At 37.4% G+C, this 25,423-nt stretch overlaps 1 protein-coding gene and 1 pseudogene across 46 annotated transcripts in view; one reads left to right on the forward strand and one right to left on the reverse strand.

Annotated features, from left to right (window-relative positions):
* The window catches only part of ATP8B4 (ATPase phospholipid transporting 8B4 (putative)), a 323,617-nt gene that overhangs the window by 117,112 nt on the left and 181,082 nt on the right, over positions 1-25,423 (reverse strand). For 23 of the 46 annotated variants that reach the window (XR_002957687.2, XM_011522056.4, XM_047433082.1 and 20 more), the window contains 5 exons: positions 21,558-21,641; positions 21,328-21,410; positions 12,042-12,200; positions 5,857-5,945; positions 4,268-4,464 (listed from right to left, as the gene is read on the reverse strand). Coding sequence is in view for 42 of the 46 variants with exons in the window: in XM_011522056.4 (XP_011520358.3) it covers positions 4,268-4,464; positions 5,857-5,945; positions 12,042-12,200; positions 21,328-21,410; positions 21,558-21,641 (612 nt within the window). In the remaining 4 variants the exon portion in view is untranslated. Of the gene's footprint in view, positions 1-4,267; positions 4,465-5,856; positions 5,946-12,041; positions 12,201-12,241; positions 12,304-21,327; positions 21,411-21,557; positions 21,642-25,423 lie in introns of those variants that run through there. The other 23 variants (NR_073597.2, NR_073596.2, NR_073598.2 and 20 more) reach the window with 5 other exon arrangements.
* RNA5SP394 (RNA, 5S ribosomal pseudogene 394) lies at positions 7,094-7,212 on the forward strand (annotated as a pseudogene).

Below are 25,423 nucleotides of genomic sequence, written 5' to 3' on the forward strand. Positions count from 1 at the left end.
GGGGGATCCCTTACATAAAATGGCAGAGTATTTGCATATAGCCTATCCATAACTTTTTTGTATACCTTAAGTCATCTCTAGATTACTTATAATACCTAATACAATGTAAATGCTATGTAAATAGTTGTTATACTGTATTGTTTAGGGAATAATGACAAGAAAAAACTCTGTACATGTTCAGTACAGACACAACCATCCTTTTTTTATCCAAATATTTTCCATCTATGTTTGGTAGAGTCCATAGATACAAAACCCACGTATACAAAGGGCAGAATATAAAACTTTTTACTGATAGGATAAGTTTTTAAATTGTTGTTGTCTAAAAGAAAGCTTTTAATTTTTTTAATGTTACTTTCATAATCAGACACAACCAAATTGTCCTACTGAAAGTTTTACAGATTATTCTTATGGATTGACTAGATTTATAATCATATTATTGTCTGTGTTCTTCCTTTCTAATAGGTTTATTTCAGTTTCATGTCTTATTTTATTCATGGATATTTCAGTTTCACGTCTTTGTAATTTACAAGGATATCCAGAACAGTAGAAAATAGTTACGGTAATAGCAGGAACCATAGCTTATTTCTGATCTTAGTGGAAATTAATCCTTGGTTTTTCTCATCTGTAAAGTGAGAAAGTTGGGCTAGATGACACTCAAATCCTTTCTGGTTATAAATTATATGCTTCAAGTTCTAAAAGTACATGACATACCTATGTTTCCCTCCCCAAAAGAGGTATGGCGCCAATTCATTTTTTAACTATTTGGATGGTAGCAGTTTTTTTCTCCCTGAAATTACACTGTGACTATGTAGAGTATGATATGGTATTAAGATACATAACTGACACTCTTTGTTTATTTATTTATATATTTTCATATATGGTTTACTCTTCTGCATCCCACCCCACCCCCACCCTCCATGTAAATTCCTTGCTAGCTGGTCTGATTCAGCTTTATTTTCCTTACTCTTTTCACTCAAAAAGCATTAGCACTTACAATGGGCTGGGGTAGTGTCTTGCCCATCAGAGGCAGTCAATCAGTCTTGAGTGTATGAATTTTAACTCTTTAGACTCTAATTTTACCAACAGGGACATTAAGACTTAGAGAGATAAAGTGACTAACCCAAGGTCACATCAATAATTAGCCACAGAGCCAAGACTAGAACTCAGGGATTTGGGAAAGCCAGTGCAGAACAGGCCTTAAGAATGGCATTATGAGGGTCACAACACAAATCATGAAGTTCTTTATTTATCTGAAAGTCTAGTAGCTCCCTGTAATCTTAAACCAAAGTGAATGAAACAATTTGATTGTTGTGTTATAGTATAATCCAATGGAAGTATTCAAAATTTATTCAAATTCCTAGAACTTAAAAGTCTGAAGAGAAAATGGGCATCGTTTTTGTTTGGGAAAAGAGGATTCAGAAGACTCACAGTGGAACATTCAGCGCTTTCTTTTACAATAGCAGAGAAAAGGAGAAAAATATTCAGAGTTAACATAATCCAGCCACTTAGTGTTTTCTGCCTGAATACTCACAGAACAGAGCTTATAATTTCACCCAGTCTCAGGCAAAACAAGCAACATAGAAATGAATTCCTATTGCTTTGGAAAGAACACTCAAAAGCTAATTCCTTGGGAAAACAATGGCTGCATTTCTTAAGATTATGTATTTAAAAAAAACTGTAGCTGGGTACGCCTTAACACAACAGATAAACAAACTGACAACATAGAAATATCCTACCAAAGTAAGTGTCCTTTGCTCACCTGGAATTGTTAACCATTCAAAGCAAATACTGAACTTCTATCCTCAAGTGATATATGGCACTAATTTACTCTTTGTACATATTCTAAAGCCTAATAGAAGCTTTGGCAGAAGGTCTTCATCATTCCGGACAGAAATACCTGGGTGTTCTCTTTTCCTATGTCTCAATCTTTAGGACCGAGAAACCTGAAATTCCTTGGAATGCTTTTTCCCTCGAGTTAAGATCAGAATCACTGTACTTATTTGGTAAGAGAAAAGCTCTCATTTGTCTTCATCAATATGCCTAACAACAAGGACAGAACTCTAGACTCTTTTTTTTCTTTTGATTTCTTCACTGAGTAATAAATCATACATAGCTTAGGGATATAGGAAAACACTGTCCCAACTCTCAGAAGACTTCTGCCCCTCTTTAGCTCATGATCCTGAGCAAATCCTCTCATCCCATTTTGAAAGCAGCTCAGCAAATCCTACTTCATAAGATTGTTGGGAAACATAAATGAGATAAAGTATGTGGAAGTGTAAAATATAAAAGGCTAAAAAAAGAGAAAAGTATTCAGAGTTTTAAGGTATCATATTTTATGGTATATTATAGAACATCAGTAATTTTGAACATTATAAGAAAGAATGCATAAGAAAGTAGTTTTTAAGTGATAAAGTGTTATACTGATATCAAATATATATTTATAATGTTATCTAAAGGTAAGGTGATATTATTTGGAGAATAAAGTAACTCAGAAATTAATTCTTTTAATCCCCTTATTTTATGGGGAAGTACATATTTGACAAGCAAACTAAGGCACAGAGAAGCCAAGCACTTTCTCCAAGGTCACACAGCTATTAGTGGCAGTACCAAGACCAGAAACTGGGTTTGGACAATTATAAATACGTTTTCTGTCAATTGTACCATGGCACATTAGAAGTATAAGGAATGCCAACCTGAGAATCTACCTTTGGTCTCTTAAAAAAAAATCAATCTTTCAAATCATTAAATGAAAATGCCAATGTACTTCAAAGAAAGAATGTATACATAATATACTTCCTTTGTGAGGACATATGAAACTGCACATGTGCAGATGGAAAGCCACTATGCACATTTATTATTCATTTAGGACATAAAGGAATGCTATAAAAGCTGACTGTAGCTCTTCCGGCAAAGAGCAGGATTTACTACAGACTTTATAATTGGATACAAGCATGAGAGGTCCTCAGAATCAAAGATGAGCCAGTAGGATATAGTTTAAATAGAGCCCTCTCTGACCACAGCTCCAGAGGGCCCGAAGCAATATGTGGTATTGTGGCCACATGCCACTACTTCAAGTGAATTTCCCACAACTTGGCATTTCAGTTTCCTGACCACTACCCAAAACAAGGGTGGATTTTGTGCATTAAACTTCCCTTGCTTCATCATAGCTAGGTTTTTGAAGAGAGATAAAAAGAGGTTCATAAAAATAAGTGGGGATTTGGAGCTGATGATTTTGTGTACTGTTAAAGTACTGATGATGAGAACTGTCAACCAACCAAGTCCCATCTTAGCTCCAATGTTTTGGGGACAGTCTGGCTCAGCCTTGTTAGGATTAGGATCAAAAATGTCCCAGGTACAGATTCTAGGGCCAATTTCTAAGCTTTATCAAATACACACACACACACACACACACACACACACACACACACACACACACATGCATACATATGTATATAAATAAAGAGGGGTGTGTGTGTGTGTGTGTGTGTATGTGTTCTGTTTGTGTGCATAGACAGAGAGGCAAAAAGAGAGACCACCTTAGCTCTAATTTATGGGACCGAATCTAATCCTGACAGATCAAATTGTAGTAGAAGTTATAAATCATACTTCTTATCTTACAATGGACTAGCACCACCTACTATATTTTAACTCCTTTATGTACATACTTATAGTTACTAATAATAGGAAAAGCTAATATTCATTAAGCTTTTATAATGTGTCAGGAATTCTTAGAGCTTTATAGACATGTATTCACTCCTCATACAATCGTATGAGGTAGAACTATTATTTTCTTCATTTTTAAAATGAGGGAACTGAGGCACTAGAAGATGAAGCTACTTGCCCAAGGTTATGGAGCTAGTAAGTGGTAGAATAGGACCTGAATCCATGTATCTATAGAGCCAGTCTAGTGGCAAAGAGGCACCCTCTCTATAGATCTCCCCAATGTTCTTCCTTTTCTTACTCAAAATTAACCCAATTCTAATTGATCAGGTTACATGAGATTATATTGTAGTGCATGTCTTACAAAGAAAAACATTTCTAAGAAACCAAATCAAATCAAGAAGAAAATTAACCGCATTTATTGTAATTTGAAAACATAAAAGTTAACAGATTAAACAGCTAAGCTGTCCCATTTGTAACAGATGTTGCAGATCATAAGCAGTTAAGAGCAAGACATCTATTGCACTGCTGAAACTTTAAAACAAATAATATTGGAAACAAAGGTTTTGATGAAATTATTTCATTAAAATATAAACTCTCATCTTACCTCACATATAAGGAAATGGGTACAACTGTATTGAGAATAATAATATATGACCAGAATGTTAAGAATCCGGAGAACACAGAGCTCTTCTCTCCTTCATTCCAAAAGAGGAAAGTTCTGAATTGGTCCCCAGTTTGACTCTCCCAGATTGAATTTCCTATTGCAAGAATAATTCCCAAGCATATCAGAAACCCAAAAATCTGAAATAAGATAGAAGTGTGGTTAAGGTTAACTTGAACTCAAAATTAGTCATATCAACATGATCTAATTACGCATCTAACTCCAAGAAATAGTCATTTGAAAAGCAAGTATGCAAACCTCTTCTTACCATTAATCATATGAATTACGTCAGGAACTCAGCTAAATATTTTACATACATTTTCTCACTGAATTTGCCCATTGACTCTCTAAGATGGGAACAGTCATTATCCCCACTTTACAGTTTAAAAACAAAGTAAAATGGAAGCACAAGAAAGACTATGTAACTTGTCTATGTTCATAGACATGGGCATGTCTTCTTGGCCTCATAGGCTCTGTATGAAGGTGACTGGTATTGCTGGAGAAAACCCCAGGTCTGCAGGTGATACTGAAAGTAAAACACAGAGCCTGGCCAATATTTTGTGCACAGCAATTGCTAATTACCTTCTTTCCTTATTCAGAGTCCAATTGTTACATATCAGGTAAGCAAATACATATTGAGCTCAGATTCTTTATGATTGTGAGCCTGTGATAGGGTACATGGGAAAACATGGTTTGAAGTCACAGTCTTTATATTTTAAAGTGGCTGTCTTCGAACTTTACCCCTATATAAGCAGACAAAGCAGTATTACACAAAGACTAGATAGTATATCAATAGTATGAGGTAGCACAGGATTAACTGACAAAAGGATGGAATGTAAGGAATATCTGAATGTTTTTGGTAAACGAGTAGTAGAGAATATCATTTCAAAAGAATCAGAAGTAAAAAAAAAATTCATAAGAGAAAGATAGTCATGAGCTAAGGATGTTAGAAGCCTCTGTGAGGGAGGAGAACTGTGAGGTGGGGCTCAAAGGATTTATAACCAGAACCACCTACATAATTTGCAGGGTTCAGTGCAAAATGAAAACGTGGGACCTTCTGTCCTAAAAGTATTAAGAATTTCTAGATGGCAACAGAAGTTGAATAAACCAAACATAAGGCCCTCTGAGTGTGGGGCCCTGTGTGGTTACACAGATCACACACCCGTGAAGCCAGCCCTGCCCACCATAAGCTATGTATACAGGATCTGAAAAAAAGTAAGAAAACAAAAACACCAAACTGCCTTAAAAACTATGTTTGGTTTTCCAAAAACAAATCCCTGGGATATGGGGAATTTGTAAGACCATGAATACCTCCATAAACACTAACCTACCTCTCATGATAAATTCTACCACTGGTTGAGAAATTAGCATAATCTAGAAAATAGAAGGCAGTATAACTGAGCCTCAAATGCAAAATCCCCAAAAACAAACTCCACAAGGAGAATGTAGGCTTCTTAAAGAATTCCCAGCAAGATTCAGTAAATGTACTAAGATAACAATGACTAGTGATATTGCCTAGTTTTGTAACTTACCCATAGTACTAGAGTATTCATCAATCTATCAATGCTTGTCCTTTTAAACTTTGTCTTACCACTATTCTGCATTAGTTTAGTGTCAGGACCTGCAAAAACAAAAAAAAGTAAATAACTTTGAAATGATATGATTATGTATTCTTATTAATGCTCATATCAAATGTCTCTGAAAGAAAAAAATATATATTTTTCACAATAATTTAACTTTTATTAAGAGCAAGGGCCATTAAGTTGTACATGATTCTCAACAATTAGGTTAACAACAATCCTGGAAGCTGCAAGAGATGTGATCTTCTTAGACTAGGATAAATACAGTCAGAACTTGTAGTTGAAAGGTTTAAGTGAAGCTATTTTTTCAATGTCTATACATGAATATGCTTCTAGTTTGACATAGTTAAAGATAACAAAGTCAACAAAAGTGAGGAATAATTTGGAAATATTAAAAATAATGCAGCAACAAACACAATTCAGAACACTAAGGTAAAAAATGGAAAAATAAATCAAATTCTAGATCTGTTTCCCAAAAAGATTTGAGGTCCCTTTGAAGGAGAAACTAGAATAGCCCCCCAAAATACATCAGCAAGTAATTTAAACCTTTATTGTGTATTGTATACTGCACGTATGTAATATGTAATTTTTGTAAAGACAAGAACTGTCTTAAATGTTGTGTTAGATTTATTTCAGGTAATTACATTATCCCATGATAAGTGCCTTGTTCCAGGAATTCTAAGAATATAATCAACTGCTTTAGAAGTGGGTTATTAGATGATAAACAAATAAGAATATTGAAAAATATTGTTAAAGAAATTCCTTGTGGACAGAGAAAATGCTAAATAGAAGCAATTAAGTTTTAATTAAAGCTAATTTCTCCAGTGTTTCCTCTTCACATATTCTCCTCATGATTTTCAATCCATAGAGCCATTTAATATAGGAGAAAGGGGGAAATTAAAGAAAGGAGAAAAGGGAGGCACACCCAAAATTATATACCACTCCAGAAGTCAGGGAAGGACAGGCACATCCTTAAAAGACTTTTCTTTATGTAAAAGAAAAAAAGAAGCAATAATTGAGGTTTCATAACAATTCATTGTCTTAAGTTGGAAATTGTACTGCAGTATCCTATTCCTAGCTACTGCTGTGTATAGACCACCCACATTTTCTCAGAATCATTTATTAAAATCATATGAACATTGAGGGTGGGAAATATTTCTTTTATGGTAAAGATCACAAAGGCCAAATAGTCTGTAGCCATAGCACCCTGAACATACTTGATCTCATCTGATCTCAGAAGCTAAGCTAAGCAGGTCAGGCCTGGTTAGTACTTAGATGGGAGACTGGGGATATTTGGTGCTGTAGGCTTAAAAAAAACACACACACACATACACACATAAAGTTTGTGGTTGCTAAAAACTGAAATATGAAAAGACCAGTTAGGTGCTGAAAATGTACATTCCATTAGGCACACAAATGCACACAGACTAATAAGGAATCCTTTTTATGGATTATTAAGCATTTATGTAAATATAACCACAAATGTTTATATGCACATCCTGAAAGAATTTTCTACACTCAACAGCCTCCGTTTTCTTATCTCCCACTCGTTACTCAACCCAGTCTCTGGGCCAATCACAACGCCAAAACAGATCTGGTGTTATCATCAATATCCTCCATAACTTCTTGACTATTCAGCAACCTTTGACACTGTTGACTATTCCATCCTTTTGAAACATACTCTTCCTTTAGCTTCTGTGTTATAATATTCTCCTGCTTTCCTTCCTACCTCTTTGGTAGCTCCCTTCCTGTCTTCCATGATACTTACTCTCCCTTCCCTTTACCCAGCTACTAAAGACTGAGAATCCTTAAGACTCAGGCATAGGTCACCTTATCTTCTTACTCAATCTACCTTCCCTGAGCAATCTCACCTAAGACCGTAGCTTTGAGACCAACAGTTTTAATAATATAGACAAGATGTGTATCCCCAGCTCATGCTGTTCCTCTGAGCTTTAAATCTATATATTTAAACCTACGTATTTTGTTGCCTGTATATTTCCACCTGGATTCTTCTAAGGCCTCTCAAGTGGCCCTTGTCCAATCTGGCTTACAATCTTCCTCCAAGCTTCTTATCTCAGTGAGCATCATCACCATCCATCCAGTTGCGAAGGTTGGAAGAAACCTCAGTCATAGTTGATAACTTTATCATCCTCACCTTCAAGCCTGGTCATCAAAGCTTGTCAATTCAACTTTCTAAACTTTCTAAAAGCCTTCTGAATTTATCTACTTCCCTCTCCTTTCCTAATCTGAGGGACCATCACCTCTCAACTGTGAAAACCTAGAAACTTTGTCTCCCTGTATCCACTCTGCCCCCAAAACTAACCAATATTTTTCCTCCTTCCCAACCCCAGGACCTGCTGTCTATTTACAAACATTACAAACAGTGTTGGCAAGATTAAGCTTTTCACAATTAACACATATACACCCCACCTGTTTGAAAACTTACAATGGCGTCCCTAAGCTCTTAGGATAAAGACCAAACTTCTGGATACTGACCACAAGGTCTACCAGCATGGTCTAGCCCCTATCCATGTCTCCAGTCCCATATCCATCCCTATCCTCTGTGCTCTCCATACCCCATACTGGCCTTCTTTTTTGACCTCACTTTCCTTACTCCTGCCACAGGGCCTTGGCCATTGATATGATTTTGGCTTGAGATTAATGCCTCTTTCTCTCTCCTACCATACTGAAAATCATATGAGTGAAGGTACTGCATTTGTTTTTGTTCACATTTTTAATCCCCAATGAGTAAGTAGCATAATGCCCAGCATATAGTAGACATTCAATAAATAATTTGTAAGTATTTTAAGCAAATTAATTTTTTGAACATCTACATTTCACCTATAATCTCAGCTAATGCTTACAACAAACTAACAAATTAGGTACTATTATCCTCAGTTCACTAATAATGAAACTGAGTTTAAATAATTGAACTTGCCTGAGATTTCTCACCTAGTAAGTGTCAGAGCGAGAATTTGAACCTCGACATAAGTAATTCTAAAGTTCTTGGTCTTTACTATTTTCTAAAACTATATGAAATAGTCAACCAATATTTAAGACTGTGTCTCATTCAGGATCCTAAAAGGAAATAGATGACACATTGAACAAAGAGAATTGGAGGAAGTTTTATTTATAAAAGAACTCTTTACAAAAAGCATAGGTGGGATTATAGGGGAAACAAAAGGTTAGTGCATTAACCAAGGGCATGTAGCAAGCAAGCTGTTTCTCCACCTGAGCCAGAAGGGATGAAGGGAAGGAATGGCTACTGGACCCTAAGGGAAAGAGGTGACAGGAATTTGCAGCCCTTAGAGTAAGAGTGGCCTTCTGTTGATAGATCTGGCCAGCCTGAAGTTAGCACACAAGAATGCAGCCTGGAGGAGTAAATACCTTGATCGTAATCTCCTTCTTCCTTTTGATCTCTTCCTAGGGATCCCCGAGACAAAGCCCAACCAGAAGCAGAAGTACAAGGTAACCTATTAGTATAAACCATACAAATAAGCCTCCTAGGGCAGAAAGAATGGTAGAAAAAGGTGAGAGGAAATCTGGAGAGCAAACAGAAGACATCTAGGACAAAAATGCAGTGTGCACTCAAGATGGTACAGACTCCTAGAGACTGTTTAAATGAATATAATTCCTGCCCTCAGAAACAAGATTTTCTCCTCTCTTGAGCATAAAGAAGGCATTACCAGGGAGGTGTAGCCTAGCTGTTAATATATATTAGAACTTCATAAATTATAGGTTTGTAAAGCAAATCATATCTGTGTCATCTATATTCATTGCACAATTCCTAGTGGTAGGTATAACTAGAGTAATAACACAGAAAGAATACTTAATAATTCATTTTGGATTTTTTTTTTTTTTGAGATGGAGTCTCGTTCTGTCACCCAGGCTGGAGTGCAGTGGTGCAATCGCAGCTCACTACAAGCTCCACCTCCCAGGTTCATGCCATTCTCCTACCTCAGCCTCCCGAGTAGCTGGGACTACAGGCGCCTGCCAACACGCCTGGCTAATTTTTTGTATTTTTAGTAGAGATGGGGTTTCACCATGTTAGCCAGGATGGTCTCAATCTCCTGACCTCGTGATCCACCCGCCTCAGCCTCCCAAAGTGCTGGGATTACAGGCGTGAGCCACCGCGCCCAGCAGATATTTTTCATTAGACCTAGGTGTTCACCTGGAACTAGTTCCCCAACTAAATGTCTTAAGACTTAGAGGTTTTGTGACATCCATTTGTTCATCTCCGACACGGACGAAGCCAACCACTAATTCTTCTGTTTGCCAGCATTCTAATTAAGCTTTCTGCTAACATTTGTGACCAGACTAAAGTCAATGCAGGCATGCTCTGCTTTACAAACATCCAGTTGATAAGGTCTCCTGCAAGTGAACACTGTGGCCAAATCACAAAAGAAGAAGGTGTTCCTCTCTCCCTGCTGCCTGCTGCCAAGGTCCAGAGAGCAGTAAGTTTTTCCAACTCTCAGCCTAGAGAGCAGGCTGGGTGCTCTGAATTAAATTTGAAAGAAGGGAAGCAGAAAAGGAAGGAAAATAGCATTTGTCAAGCATCCTTTTCCGTATGCATTATCTCACTGAGCCTTTAAAATGACCCTAATGTACTCATTATTATCCCCATGTTACAGCAGAAAAAAAGTAAAGCTTCCGAAGTTTAAGTAACCAAAGCTTACAGTCCTACAGCTGGTAAAATAATAATAACAATAAATAAAAAATAATAATAAATCCAAACTCAGGTCTGCCCAATCCAAATTCTGTGAACTTTCTGTTACACTTCCTTGGAGGGAGACCTATTCAACTTACCAACCAACTTCCTTGTTTTTCAGAACATTTTCCCACAAAGAAACCTTACAAAGAAGAACTTGGCCTCTCAGCGGTTCACAACAACTGCCCTAGCATGAAACGTTGTAGCTGAACTAGAGTCCTGAATTAGCCATTCCAAACAAGGTCACGGAAATGCAAAGTTTGGGACTATATCCCATCCATAGGATGAAGCACCTCCATCTCTATGATGACAGGAAGCAAATCAGGAGGGTATTTCCCATCAGAAGACCATGAAATTTCCCTATCATTAAGTAGGAAGATAAAGGAATGTTCATGGTCAAGCCTAGCTCTCTTTTTCTCTGTGTAATGAAATATATGATCATATGTTTATTTCTCCAACTAAAATGTAAAAGCGCATATACTGGCTCATTTCTAGGGATTTCCCAAGTCTTTACAATGGCAATGCCCCAAGCGGCAAGAGCACTGCTAACACCAACAGCTGACAGTATTTAGAGGAATTGGGAGAACGTTTCTAGGTTTGGAACACTTTTAAGACTTTAATGAACACTTTGTTGTTGTTGAGGAAGGTCAGTTAAGAAAAACATTCCAATTTTGATTGCACATAGTCAAGAGGCCCAAAACACATCTTAATTTGGTGTCACAATAAACAGGACTTTTAAAATCAAGGGCTGGCAATTGAAGCCATGAGTACAATTTGAGTGGCTTTATGAAATGATGCTACTGTAAGCTTTCTTAGCAAGAGAGGGCCACCTCGGGCCTACAGAAATAAAGCAGAGAAAAGAAATTTGGTGGGCAAGAAGAGTAAGAGGCACCTCCTCCCACCCCACCCACCCCCATCATGCACAGTCTTTCCAGAACCCACTCTCCTATTTACAAACAGTGGAAAAAGCTATGGAGTATAAACAGAAATGATTACAGGATCAAGAAGCCTTTTCCAAATGGTCTGCTTGACCTTTGCAAACTACAAAATTAACTGCACAGCCAGGAGCTTTCTTTCATACTCTTACCCACTTTAAAGGCAGATTCATACATAAAATGACAAAGGTGATTAAGATGGGGTTAATGAAGAAAAATTAAGCAGTAGGTATCTAGCACCCACTGTCTAGTTAAAGCTCCAGCATCCTTAAGAATAAGATGTCAGTAGTTCCTCATACAGCAGGGGCCACCTGGACTATTTTCAGAGCAATAGTGTTTTCTCCTGGCATCCTACAATCTTAAGTCAACTCCAGAGCACGACTTTGCATGGAATGAAAGCACTGCGCTCATCAGAACACAGAGAATCATAGACTGTGCTGGTGTACGTTGCAGGAAAGGTTCCCACAGAGCTGGCCTTGGGTCACATGCTGTACCTGCAAAAATAACCATTCCAAAACACCAGCTGGTATTTCTCAGGATGCAGCCTCTCAGGATTATCTTCTCATTGTTGAGGGAATGCTTGCTGTCTTTCCAAGAAAGGATTCCCATGAATTTATCTAACTTGTTGTTAGGCACCTCACAGACAACAATCCCTGGAAAATAAAAAAACAAAACAAACCTCTTTATGACTCACCCAAAATTCTCTTCAGAAGCCCACAGCACTGTTTTACCACTGTTTCCCTCTCCTTTAGACAGCCTGGGGTTACATATAAAGAATTGTGCTAGAAAAAAATAAGCTGGGAGGTAGAAAAATGGAAAGCCATCAACTATTTTGAAACACAGTTTTCTGTACTGTCCAAATAAAAATAGAAAAAACAAATAATAACAGAAACCTTAACAGCCATGGGATATTTTTTCCTTAAAAAAGAAAAAAAAAGCATATCTTTACTTCCGGTTTGTAACAAATAATTTTTGAAAAGATAAAGCAGTGACTGTCCTAAAAGTTTCTCTTATTCCATCTCTTTTAGCTAAATGTGAACTTTTACACAGTTTAAAATAGCATACTTCTAGTCTCACAACAAAAGTTAACCATCTTTCTGACCTCACAATCAGGATTTCTGAGGTCCTACTGTATTCCACCAGAAAGAAACCTGGGCCTTGTTTGCCACATGAGTCTGAGAATGCGTGTGATTCCTTTCAGCTGTTCTATGCTTCTTATCTTGATTAGATTCAGAGTTCTGGGGACTCTCAAAGGCACCATATAACTTGCCCCTAACTGGCTAGAAGATGTTTCTAGTTTCTTTAATTCCAAACCAAGGGCATGCCCACTCCAAATCAACGAATCAATTCGTTCCATTATTTCAATATGAAAATATACATTCAGGATGAGGGTTCTCTAGATAGAAAAAGAAACCACAAATAATCTTTCACGGACCCTGCCACAAAACATAACTATTAGATTAATATACATATCCACTGCAAACAGGTAAGGTTAAATTTTTTATATATAATGAGTACAAAGACGTGAAAGAACAGAATGGAGGGAGAGAGGGACAGAGGGAGGAAGGAAAAAAGAGAGGGGAGATATGAAAAAGGAAGCTGTGGGTAGATCCAATCAGGGTTTGAGCCAGAGTCAGGGGTGAGATTAGTACCTACAAAGTTCTCTCTCTCAAAAACAAACAAACAAAAATACATTTACATTTAATCAGAATTCAAAAGAGCAAGTTGGAACATAAAACATAGCATTTGGAAAATAAAAAGGGGACTGTATCTTTAGCGCTGATTAAAGAGAAAGGGGACCACGTCAGCCTAGAGATCCTCTATATTACACTGACTCCATCCACTCTTCAAGCTGCCTTCTGAACTTAAAAGAGGCTTCTTAGGGGGGTCCCCTTTCTCCCTAGGATGCTCCCTTTAAAACTACTAAACAGAGGTAACAGCAACCAGTTGCCACATGGCCACGTCACTCCTGACCAACCATTTCACTAACAGACCTTGCATTAAAAAAGCAAAAGCAAATAAAACTGTGAAAGGAATGAGGGACTTATGTCCTCAGGGCTGCTTTTCCAACCTCCACCTGTCTTTCCCCAATATAACAAAAGTACTGCCTGAAGCCTCCCCACTTAGGCACTCACTGGCAGTTTCCCAGACATCCCTATTTCCCACTGCTAAATAGAGACTGCTGGCAGGAGGATTTGGATAAGACAAACAACCTTGCCAAGGGAAGGGGCTGAATTCTGGTTAGCTCCGTGATAGCCTATCACTGATAGTAAAAAGTAAATTAAAACTGATTTAAACTGGCTCAAGTTGTTTGGACAACTATGTTGTAGATGAGGAGACATTTTCTAAATCCCTGAATTCAGTATCTTTTTTTCTTGACCAATAATTTTCATTCTGAATTGTAAAATCTTGAATTGGCTATCACCAGCAAAATCTACATAAAATAACAGGTTGACAGCAACGCTTGAAGTTTATTCCAGATTCTTGACCCAAGACTCAATTTCTCAGGCTTCAAACCTAGCCACTTAAAAAAAAAAAATGTGCTTTGGGCAAAAACAACATGATATGCAGTCCCTGCCAAAAGGAATATAAAAAACAGGTTCATTTGATCATTTCTATTGTCATAAGCAAAGACTGACATGGAGGCAAATACAGCCTTAAACATGTTGGCTTGCCCCTCCCTGACCTCACACCAAGGGTGTGGTTCTAGACAGGAACAGGGAGTAAGGCCAAGGGGTACTGCCTGGGTTCTTGGAGGCTAAGCCCCAATTCAGCCTTTCTCAAAGAGTGTGGTCTCGGTGATGTAAGTTCTAAATACAGGCCCCAGTCAAAACAAAATGGTGGGAACAAAGCCAAACTACATTTGTTTTTATCATCAGAAGTGCTCGGCTTCCCCTTTTTAAGCTCTATTAGCATAAAACACACACTTCCCAATTTCTTTTGTACCACTTTCGAAAAGGGATGAACAGATTCCTTTGAAGGGAGCACTGTATTCACCTCTGTATTCCTATAACCTATTATACTATCTACATAATAGGATCTTTGTCGAAGAGATGGATAGAAAAAATTTCAGATGATTTCGAGAGAGGTTAAGAGATGAGATGGATATTAGAGCAGATCTAAGAAAAACAGAAAAAGTGGGTATATTTCCATGATAGTAATAAAGGACTAGAAAATCAAATAGCCCAGGCACAACAGCCGGGGCTTAGTTTGGCCTAAATCTAAAGGGAGTCGAGTAGATCTGAGAGTACTGAAAAAAGGTGAGAGCATTAAAGTGCATTAGAAGCAACCAAAATGAGAGCCTAGCCATGAAGCATAACAAGGATGAGGGGAAAGCTCTCTTAGGACCCTTCTTCTTTTTGCTAGTTGAATCAGAGAAGAGAAAGAGGCAGTAAATGATCAGTTTGACAATCGATGAGGAAACAGTTAAGGAAAAAATCGCATCATTTCTCACATAGTCATTTACTGAATACATGTTTGGAGCACAAAGTCATCTTTAATGGGCAATAATAAAGCTGGAAGAAAATCACGTCAATAATGAAGTGTAAATACAATCAAACTAGCTGGTCATATCTGTTTGCCCCTCTGAAGAGAAGACATGAAAGCAGATTGCAATTTATCCATTTGACAATCACACAGAAATGCTCTAGACCCATACTGAAAAAAATCTACAGGATCTCATTCTGGACCTTCTTAAGCATTCTAGATTTAGTCAGCTGGATCGTTGGTTAATTACCAACTTGACAGACTTCTCGAGCTAAGTATTTACCTCAAAGTGAAAGTCTGTAGTTTATCATAAAAATGGAACTCAGTGCCCAATAGTCTATGATTTTCCAGAGAAGCTGGCTTCATCTCTTCCTATACATTATTAATAGAAATAGTTCTTGATTATCTGTACTGCAACTCTTCCATAAGACAAATCATCCAGCAAATAAAACATCAATATTGCTGTTCAAGAATTTCTCTAGCCAAGAGTTTTTTTAGCGTTTTAGAGATTGCCCACTAGTGTTTGCCCTGATGATTGTGACAAATACTTATTTTCTTAGAAAGAAGTATGTCACCTTCCTATTTTCTAAAGCTTCTTTACTCTTCAACTGTCAAGGCTCACCCATCCATCATTACCACCATAATGGCATGTCGGCACCAGCAGTAAAGAGGGAAATTATTCTTCACGCCTTTACATGGAATCTATGCCTCATGAGTCAGCTGTGCTGTTGGGTTGTGCTCCAGTCCAGGTGAATAGGAAAGCTATCTGGTAAGCAAAAAAACTCACAAGATGCTAACCAAGCTATTTTTTTTAACCAAAAAGAGATGCTTATTTTTCCATGTTTTAATTACACACATGCTATTCTTTAGAAAGAACCACAAAATATACAAGGATTCCTGAATAAAGAGTCAACCTTTCCTCGGTTCAGAATTCAGCATTAACAGTCATACAAAATATGTAAACTTGTCAGGAGTTGCAGAAAACAGATCTCAGTTCAGTCAGTAACAATATGCAAAAGATTCTTAAACACATTTCGACAATTTACATCCGGGGTTTTCCCCAAGGAATAAGAATGTCCAGTTTACATAATAATAATTGACAAGTATTTCAGTTACTTGTTTATAAAAGCTTTTCAATTCCCATAAGACTTTAACATGAAAATCAAGGCCCAATCTCTTTTTATATTATATTTGATCTATAATATTAGATCAAGTTATGTATCTTTTCTTACAAAATTCAAGAGACCATAAATCATTTTTTCTGATGTTTGAAATGTATAAAAATATTTTCATGAGAACTTTTCAAATAAATGGATTTACCTGCCAAAACCCAACTCTCTTGTGTGCACTGGTCTCTACATTTGGCCAAGTCTTCTATAAACTCTTATCAGGGATCCTGACATTCAAAATCACTGAGAACATTGCTACGTTTTAAAAATATGATGACCTCATCCTTGTGCTGGATGGACTTGATCTCTGGTAATTAATTTCGTACCTTTGGGTTTAGAATATTTTAAAATTTCATTTATTTCCCTAATCAAGAGCTAAGCTCTTGTGCTAATTTTCCCTAACCCTCCAATGCTGTCTTTCTACTTTGGTTTACAACCTGGGGTTTTGTGTCCTTTTGTGTCCTTTGTAAAATAGGCTTTGCCAGAAGTCCAGGGTTCATAGTCTGGCTTCTCCACTTAACAGCCATATGACACTGGGAAAGTTAATCAATTTACCTGGGTCTCTTTATCCATAAATTGAGCTAACAATAATCTCTTCCTTCAAGAGCTGTAAGGGTTTAACAAGATAATGTGTGCAATTACTCAGCATGGTGCCTGGTACATAGTGAGTTCTTGCTCACATATCAGCATCATGTTTAGGGCCTGAGAACTTTAGGGCCTTTACCTTATCAAAGGCTTCTTTAGGGATGAGCCCTTGTTCAAGTCTGTCTTCTCCCCTGGGAAATAAGCTCTATAAAAGTAAGGCCTGAGCCTGACTTATTAACCACTGTATCCCAGTCTTAACAAATCCCTTGGCCTTGTGTTAAATATACATTTGCTGAATGAATAATGGGTGACTGTATGTATGGATGAAAGAAATAAGTCCACCAGAAAGACACTATCTTTGAATATAGATGCAAAAGTGAGGAGGCAGAGAGACTTACCAGAGACATCCTGAGATTTCAACCCATCTCAGTTCTGACCCTATGTGTCCGAAACCTGGAGTCCCCAGTGGGAACTTCTCTGGGGATAGGAGTGGGAAATTCAGGTCTTTAGATACTTGGAAGATGTGCTTTTATGATTCAAGGACAGAAAATTGTAATTTGGTGCTAGAGAAAGTATTTTGGCAAGTCTCAGAAGAGGAAAACACACAGTAACCAGAAGCAAAAATAATGCCATACCCAGATTTGCCCAGAAGTCACAAATTAAAACATGTACTTAGCACAGACAGAACATGGTAAAGAGTGTGCCTCCCATATCTTCTCATCGATTATACCTTGCCAAAGCTAGCCAGGGCATTGCCAAACATATACAATGTTGATATCCTATTTTAATTTAAACTAAAGGATGCAATATCTAGTTTTGATTCCCATGAGTCAAGAAAGTCTTTTTCCAATCACCAGAGGAAAACCTGAAATCTACTGATATTTCATTAGGACAAAGTTGAATAAAGAAGACACAAAAAAGGGAGTAGAAAAAGAACGAGGAGCAAAGGATCAAAAGAACCTTGGTAATATATGGAGAGATCATTTATAATTCTACATACTTTGTTTTGCATCTTGTACTTAGGAGGTACTTAATAAACAGACTTAAACTAATATGGAGAGAGTGATAAAAACAAAGATAAAGAATGACAGAAAAGTGACACTGCAGGTGGAGAAAATAGCTAACAAAAAGAAGTGAAGGAAGACGATGAGATGAGAACAGTAAGCAAGAATACAGGAAGGAAAGAAAGGAAAGAAGAATGGTGAAATGGAGTAGTTAGAAAACCATGTGCTGATAGTAGTGTGTGTGTGTGTGTCAGAGATATTAAAATTGAAATGTGTAAATTAGGGCTTGGAAAGAAGTGATGGAGAAAACAATCGAAGGCCAAGGAAAGCAAGAGCAATCGTGGGAAGGATTTAGGGCTTATTAACTGTCCTAACTCTTTCAAAGACTTCCATGCCGCACCTTGCATCATCCTCTTGGTCTTTAAATTTGGCTGCTAACTGGGGGGAATCTAATTTGTATATTGTTTCTAATTTATTTTCCCTTAATTCGTCTATTCATTCTTCTGATGTTTTCTTAGAAACAGGAAATTATATTTTTACTTATTAGAATAAACCCATAAAACTCCCTGTTGCCTTGAACTTTAAGGTAGATTGAAATGCAGCCCAAGATTTTAAAATGAAAAAGTAACTTAACAGAAACCTGGATTTTAGCCCAGAAGTGTACCAGCCTCATGAATCTGGCATTACATGTTTTCTGAAAAGCTGACCACAGTTTAAGTATATATAATCATAAAAAAGAGAGGTCTGTGTTGTCTTTATTTGTGAAAACAATTATTCATTGGGGATTTGGTGAGTTGCCCATTCTGTATGAAGCAAATTCAAGTCATATCTAGTAAGTAATAATTATTAACACACCTTAAAAGTAAATTTTGTGAAGTATTTTTAAATGGCTATTTTTATATATAAGCAAGTCCTTTAACTTCTCAAGACCTGTTACCTCATCTGAGAGGAAAATGTTTTCAGCCTGAGCAACATCACTTGTATTGGTTTAAATTTGGAGCTACTGTGTTCCATTTTCTTACTTCAGAAAGGATGTGAAGTAAAGACATTTAAAAACTACCATGCCAGCTGATCCCTCTCCCAGACACCTGCCTTCCAGGAGGAGAGGATCCAGCACTCCTTCCTGGTCCTACAAGGCCACTTCAGGAAGCTAAAGCTTCCTCCTCACCCCATCGTTTCACACTCTCTTCCCAGTCTCTTTACGTTAGGACTTTCCTTTGCCCTCCCATGTCTTTTTGGGCCCTGACGCTAGTCTTCCTCTCGGCCCCCCAATGGGATTTGTAACTATTTATTTATTCATCCAGCAGGGATTTACTGAGTACCTACTATGTGCTAGACGTTGTTCTAGAAGCTTGGCGTACATCAGTGAATAAAACAAAGATCCCTGTGTAGCTTACACTGAAGCAGATAAAGATGGACAATAAATAATTAACTTAAAAAATAAATGAATTATCCAGTATGCCAGACAGTGCTAAGTGCTATAAGAAGAAGAAAAAGCCAAGCAGGGTATGGTGGATTGAGAGTGTAAGGAGTCATGCTGAAGAGGGGGATGCTTAACCCCAGTCCTGCAGTTCCATGTAAGAAATCCACCTAATCCAGCCTGGCTCCTTATGCATTATCCTGGCATCAACTTACATGGCCACGATTCTTGAAGGGTGTGGTAGAGACAGTTAATGCTCAACAAGTATTCATACTTGTTATTTCCTAGCCTCCCTTGCAGTTAAGTCAGGGCCAGGTGACAATGTTAGCCAATGAACTATAAGAGGAAGAAGAATTTAAAAACCATTGTGTCTCTTTCATCTTACCCTTAGCCCAGTGCAGTGATCTCAGATGCCATTAGTCCAGATACTGTGGCTCCATGATGGAGAAGGCCACCCAACCCACTAAGAATGTGACATGAGCAAGAATAAGCCTTTACTGTGTTTATGCCACTAAGATTGCAGGGCTGTTTATAACTGCATCATAGTGTAGCCTATCTGAGCAAGCATCTAGGAAAGAATGGGACCTAAATAATTGCTAACAATCATGTTCTGCTTTTTGATGATTAGCAACACTAAAAATCATGAATTTCTACCTCCTCGTAGATCAATAGAGGTATAAAGGTAAATTCTGCCGGGAAAGAAATGAGTAATAGTAAATTATATTTAGATGGCCTTTTTGGGCCTCCATGAATATTCAATGAGGTATTTTAAGCAAGTATTTTGATTCATGAACACAATTTACTTTTCTTGGATTCACATAACAGTAAAATTTCATTGAAAAAATTACTTAGTAGAAAATGTGTAATTTGTTTTATTCTAATCAAAATATTTCTTGGACCATTCAGTTTCCTGGCTACTCTCTGACTTCAATCTCAATTCGGAGGAATTTTTTTTTCTATAAACATCTGTTATAAAAGCACTCATTTAAGAGAGATTAAAATATTAACAGAATCCAGAGTTTACAAGCAATTGCAAAGCACAGGCAATAGGAGCTCTAAGCTCTGCACTGGAGAAACTTTACAATATAAACTTGCCTGTGCTTTAACTCATGTGATTATGCTAATACCCTTGTCCATGTTTTCCCTAAGTGGATCCCCCAAAAACACATTTTGAAAGATTGTCTCAAACTCATGAAAATCCATTAGTAAATAAAGCCAATCTGTATGGATATACTAATATTCTGGGCCAGACTGTCAAGTGGGTAAAGCAGGAGACCACTGAGGAGTGAAAGGGAGACTCCAGAGATTCTCTCTGCAGCCTATTATGGTGCCTAAAATCCTACAATCAGTGTCTCTTTCCTTTGACTCTTGAAGTACTGTGTTTCTCTGTGGTATCTTAATCATACATGCAGATATCCTTAGAATGGACAACATCTAGAGGTTGTTCCATGACTACTTAAGAATAACTTTAACAGAATAGAACGAGATATAGGTAGAAAAGGAAAGGCAAGAGAGATTATACTGAAGATCGGGGACCAGCTGAATGGTATGAAGATGGAAATACTAAAACCATGGTCTAAAATAAAAGTCAACAGATGACCAACTGATTAATAAATCAGAATATTCTTCTTGAACACCTAATATCTTCAAGACATTATGCTAAGCGCCGTGCAAGGTACTGAAATACATGAGGCAGGATGACTGTCTTCATGAAGTTTGAGGTCTCCTAGTTAGTCTTTGTTATGGAGCCAGGAAATGGATGGGTGGTTAGACCTAGAACTAGAAATACAAGGGTGGCCAATATTTCTCCCCAGCAAGTCTGTATATGGCTTCAGGGAGGCCAACATCAAGCAAGTAAAGGGTATTATGGGATTGAAGTAAATGATATTTAAAAAGGAAACAAGCATGAAATGAACGATAAACTGATAAAGCCATTCTCTCCTTGGCAAACATTTTTACTCTTTTTAGCGTGCGAAGAAATTACAGGCTTTGATGCCTGGAGAATTTGATGTCCTTCCACCAAATAAAAAGAAACATAAATTGGATCTCACATTACTTTGTTGCATTGCTTTTTGGGTTTGAGGTTTTTGTTTGTTTATCTGTTTAAAATACTTACCATCAAACCCTGCAAGTCTGCTGATATCTGCTCCAAGTTCTGAAGTAACTGATAGTGCATGGCGGACTTTTAGGTTCGTTTCCCTGTGAAATTATTGACATGACATGAATTTTTATATGGAACAGCCCAACAGCATCCTACCAAAGCAATCAGGTGGGTGTAGCACATGCAAAGCCAAACCCAAGAGATCCAAGAAACTCTCCTTTGAATGTCATTCACACTTCGCTCACTGTTTCAGGAAAGTAGGCAGGGCTTCTTGGGCTCCAAAGAGTTGGCATTCTACCCACGGCACATCTTTATAACAACACAATGATCTGTTTTGCAGTTTGAAAGAACAGAGGACATAACAAATATGGTTTCATTTGAACCTACTCAGACATCACGCATGAGTTACAAAACACATTCAGAATTGGAACACAGTTGCCAAATAAAGGAGGCTAATATCACTCCAGAGTCTACTATCTACATAGGAGTTTTACTTGCAAAAAATGGTCATGACTAATTTCACAGTAGCTGAAATTTAAATGGGAAAGGGAATACAGCTTTCATTTTCTTAGAGAATCAATCCAAGAAACCCATAAGTCTAAAATAGACAACCTAGACAAGCTCAGCAAGTCACAGTGAGTTGGGCATCTTCTTATAGGTGAGACCACACATATTTTGGACAGATGGCTCTCTGATATTCATAAATGGCCAGCAGTTAAGATTCTATGGCCATCACTTACGTCTTGTTTTAAGGGCTTGCCATCCCAGTTTTCTCACTGAATTCAGCCTAATTCTCTTATACTGTAGCTTAAGATCAGCTATCAGAGTTCTATCTTTTATGGAAATGTTTAGTGGTACTTTCCTTCAGTCAACAAATATTGATTAAATACATACCCTAGTCACCCAAGATACGCAATGCTGCCCCAAGAGGATGACAATCCTCTTGGGGAAAACAAGTGGTAGGTAAAAAAGCAAACATCACTGTGTGGAATTTTGTGCAAACCCGTGAAATAACTCATTTTAGACAGCCAAAAAGCAGGTACCTAAGAAGGCATCCAATCTTAACCTTCCGTAAATGAATTTCACAATGATGTAGGACAATATGAGTCCAACTCAAGGAATACGCATTGCTAAAATAGCTTTCTTCAGGAAAGACTAAGTTGGATGTATAATTCAAGCTAGTTTGCTTAAAAGTAATCTTATTAATCAAAACCTGCTGATTTCTAGGACGCAGAGATGAGTAGGAATTGAGATAGTCAAGAACTTCATAGATGAAGCAGAAATTGAGCTGGGCTTGACGGACAAGAGTGAGAAAAGTGGTATAGAGGCTAAAGGGCCAACATGTCCATCCATTTAAACAACTGTTCAAATAACTGAAATAGTCACACCAAAAAAGCCAGATAGCCCTAGTTCTTTAGCCCTAATCTACGTCATGTAATTTATCAAAGTTTATCATCATTTTGAATTACTTCCTCAGGATCCTCTCCACTATCTCAGTTCTATCTTCAAATGTGAAAAAACAAAAGAGGAAGAATAATCACACACAGGCCTTCTTGATACTTTTAAAAAGTATTTTCCTTTGGGTATATACCCAGTAATGGGATGGCTGAGTCAAATGGTATTTCTAGTTCTAGATCCCTGAGGAATCGCCACACTGACTTCCACAAGGGTTGAACTAGTTTACAGTCCCACCAACAGTGTAAAAGTGTTCCTATTTCTCCACATCCTCTCCAGCACCTGTTGTTTCCTGACTTTTTAATGATTGCCATTCTAACTGGCGTGAGACGGTATCTCATTGTAGTTTAGATTTGCATTTCTCTGATGGCCAGTGATGGTGAGCATTTTTTCACGTGTTTTTTGGCTGCATAAATGTCTTCTTTTGAGAAGTGTCTGTTCATGTCCTTCACCCACTTTTTGATGAGGTTGTTTGTTTTTTTCTTGTAAATTTGTTTGAGTTCATTGTAGATTCTGGATATTAGCCCTTTGTCAGATGAGTAGGTTGTGAAAATTGTCTCCCATTTTGTAGTTGCCTGTTCACTCTGATGTTAGTTTCTTTTGCTGTGCAGAAGCTCTTTAGTTTAATTAGATCCCATTTGTCAATTTTGGCTTTTGTTGCCATTGCTCTTGGTGTTTTAGACATGAAGTCCTTGCCCATGCCTATGTCCTGAATGGTAATGCTTAGGTTTTCTTCTAGGGTTTTTATGGTTTTAGGTCTAACGTTTAAGTCTTTAATCCATCTTGAATTAATTTTTGTATAAGGTGTAAGGAAGGGATCCAGTTTCAGCTTTCTACATATGGCTAGCCAGTTTTCCCAGCACCATTTATTAAATAGGGAATCCTTTCCCCATTGCTTGTTTTTCTCAGGTTTGTCAAATATCAGATAGTTGTAGATAAATCATGCTGCTATAAAGACACATGCACACATATGTTTATTGTGGCACTATTCACAATAGCAAAGACTTGGAACCAACCCAAATGTCCAACAATGATAGATTGGATTAAGAAAATGTGGCACATATACACCATGGAATACTATGCAGCCAAAAAAAATGATGAGTTCATGTCCTTTGTAGGGACATGGATGAAATTGGAAATCATCATTCTCAGTAAACTATCGCAAGAACAAAAAACCAAACACCGCATATTCTCACTCATAGGTGGGAACTGAACAATGAGAACACATGGACACAGGAAGGGGAACATCACACTCTGGGGACTGTTGTGGGGTGGGGGGAGGGCGGAGGGATAGCTTTAGGAGATATACCTAATGCTAAATGACGAGTTAATGGGTGCAGCACACCAGCATGGCACATGTATACATATGTAACTAACCTGCACATTGTGCACATGTACCCTAAAACTTAAAGTATAATAATAATAAAATGAAATTTAAAAAAAAGTATTTTCCAGGACTCCTGATTAATGCCTTCATTGTCATTCCACACTCTTGCTTAATCTGCCTGAGTATCTTGATAAACTTCAAAGTGATTTTCAGCATAAGAAACAATACCAAAAGATGCTGTGTACCCCTTATTCAGAATTGCATCTTACTACAGTTTCACATCTTGCAAAATATAGTATAATATCACAACCACGATATTGATATTGAAATAGTTAAGATACAGAACACTTCTATCACTGCGGGATCCCTCAGGTTGTGCTCCATAGCCGTACCCACCTCCCTGCCTTTCCCACCCCATCTTAACACCTGGAAACTACTAATCTGTTCTCTATTTCCATGATTTTGCCTTTTCAAAAGGCAAAAATTTTATAAACAGAATTATACTGTATGTGACCTTTGGGATTGGCTATTTTTTGTCAGTATAATTCTCTGAAGATTCATCCAGAGTGTTACATGTATCAGTAGTTCACTCATTTTCATTGCTAAGTAGTATTCCATGGTATGGATGTACCACAATTTATTCAACCATTGACTTATTGAAGGATATTCAAGTTGTTTTCATTTCTGGATGTTATGTATAAAGCCACCATAAACATTCATGTACAGGTTTTTGTACAAACATGTCTTCATTTCTCTGGGATAAATGCCCAGGGGTGAAATTGTTGGGTTGTATGTTAACTGCATGTTCAGTTTTTAAGAAACTACAAAACCATTTTCCAGAGTGATTGTAGCATGTTACATTCCCACCCACAATGTATGAATAATCCTGTTTCCCTACTTCCTTGCTAGCATTTGGAGTTGTCACTCTTTTTCATTTTAGCCATTCTGATAGGTCTGTAGTGAGATCTTATTGTAGTTTTAGCTTGTATTTCCTCAGTAGTTAATGATGTTGAGCATCTTTTCATGTGCTTATTTGCCATTTGTACGTCCTCTTTGGTGAAATGTCTCTTTTATGTCATTTGCCCATTTTCAAATGGGATGGTTTGTTTTTTTACTATTGAGTTTTAAGAAGTTTTTTTAAAATATATTCAAGATACAAGTCCCTGGTCAAATAGATGGTTTACAAATATTTTCTTCCAGTCTGTAACTTATCTTTAAGTCCTCCTAACAGGAACTTCTGTGGAACAAAAATTTTTAATTTCTTGAAGTCCAGTTTATCAAAGTTTTCCTTTTATGGATTATGTTTACTGTGTCAAGTCTAAGAATCTG

Source organism: Homo sapiens, chromosome 15 (assembly GCF_000001405.40).
Source record: "Homo sapiens chromosome 15, GRCh38.p14 Primary Assembly".
Classification (NCBI taxonomy): domain Eukaryota; kingdom Metazoa; phylum Chordata; class Mammalia; order Primates; family Hominidae; genus Homo; species Homo sapiens.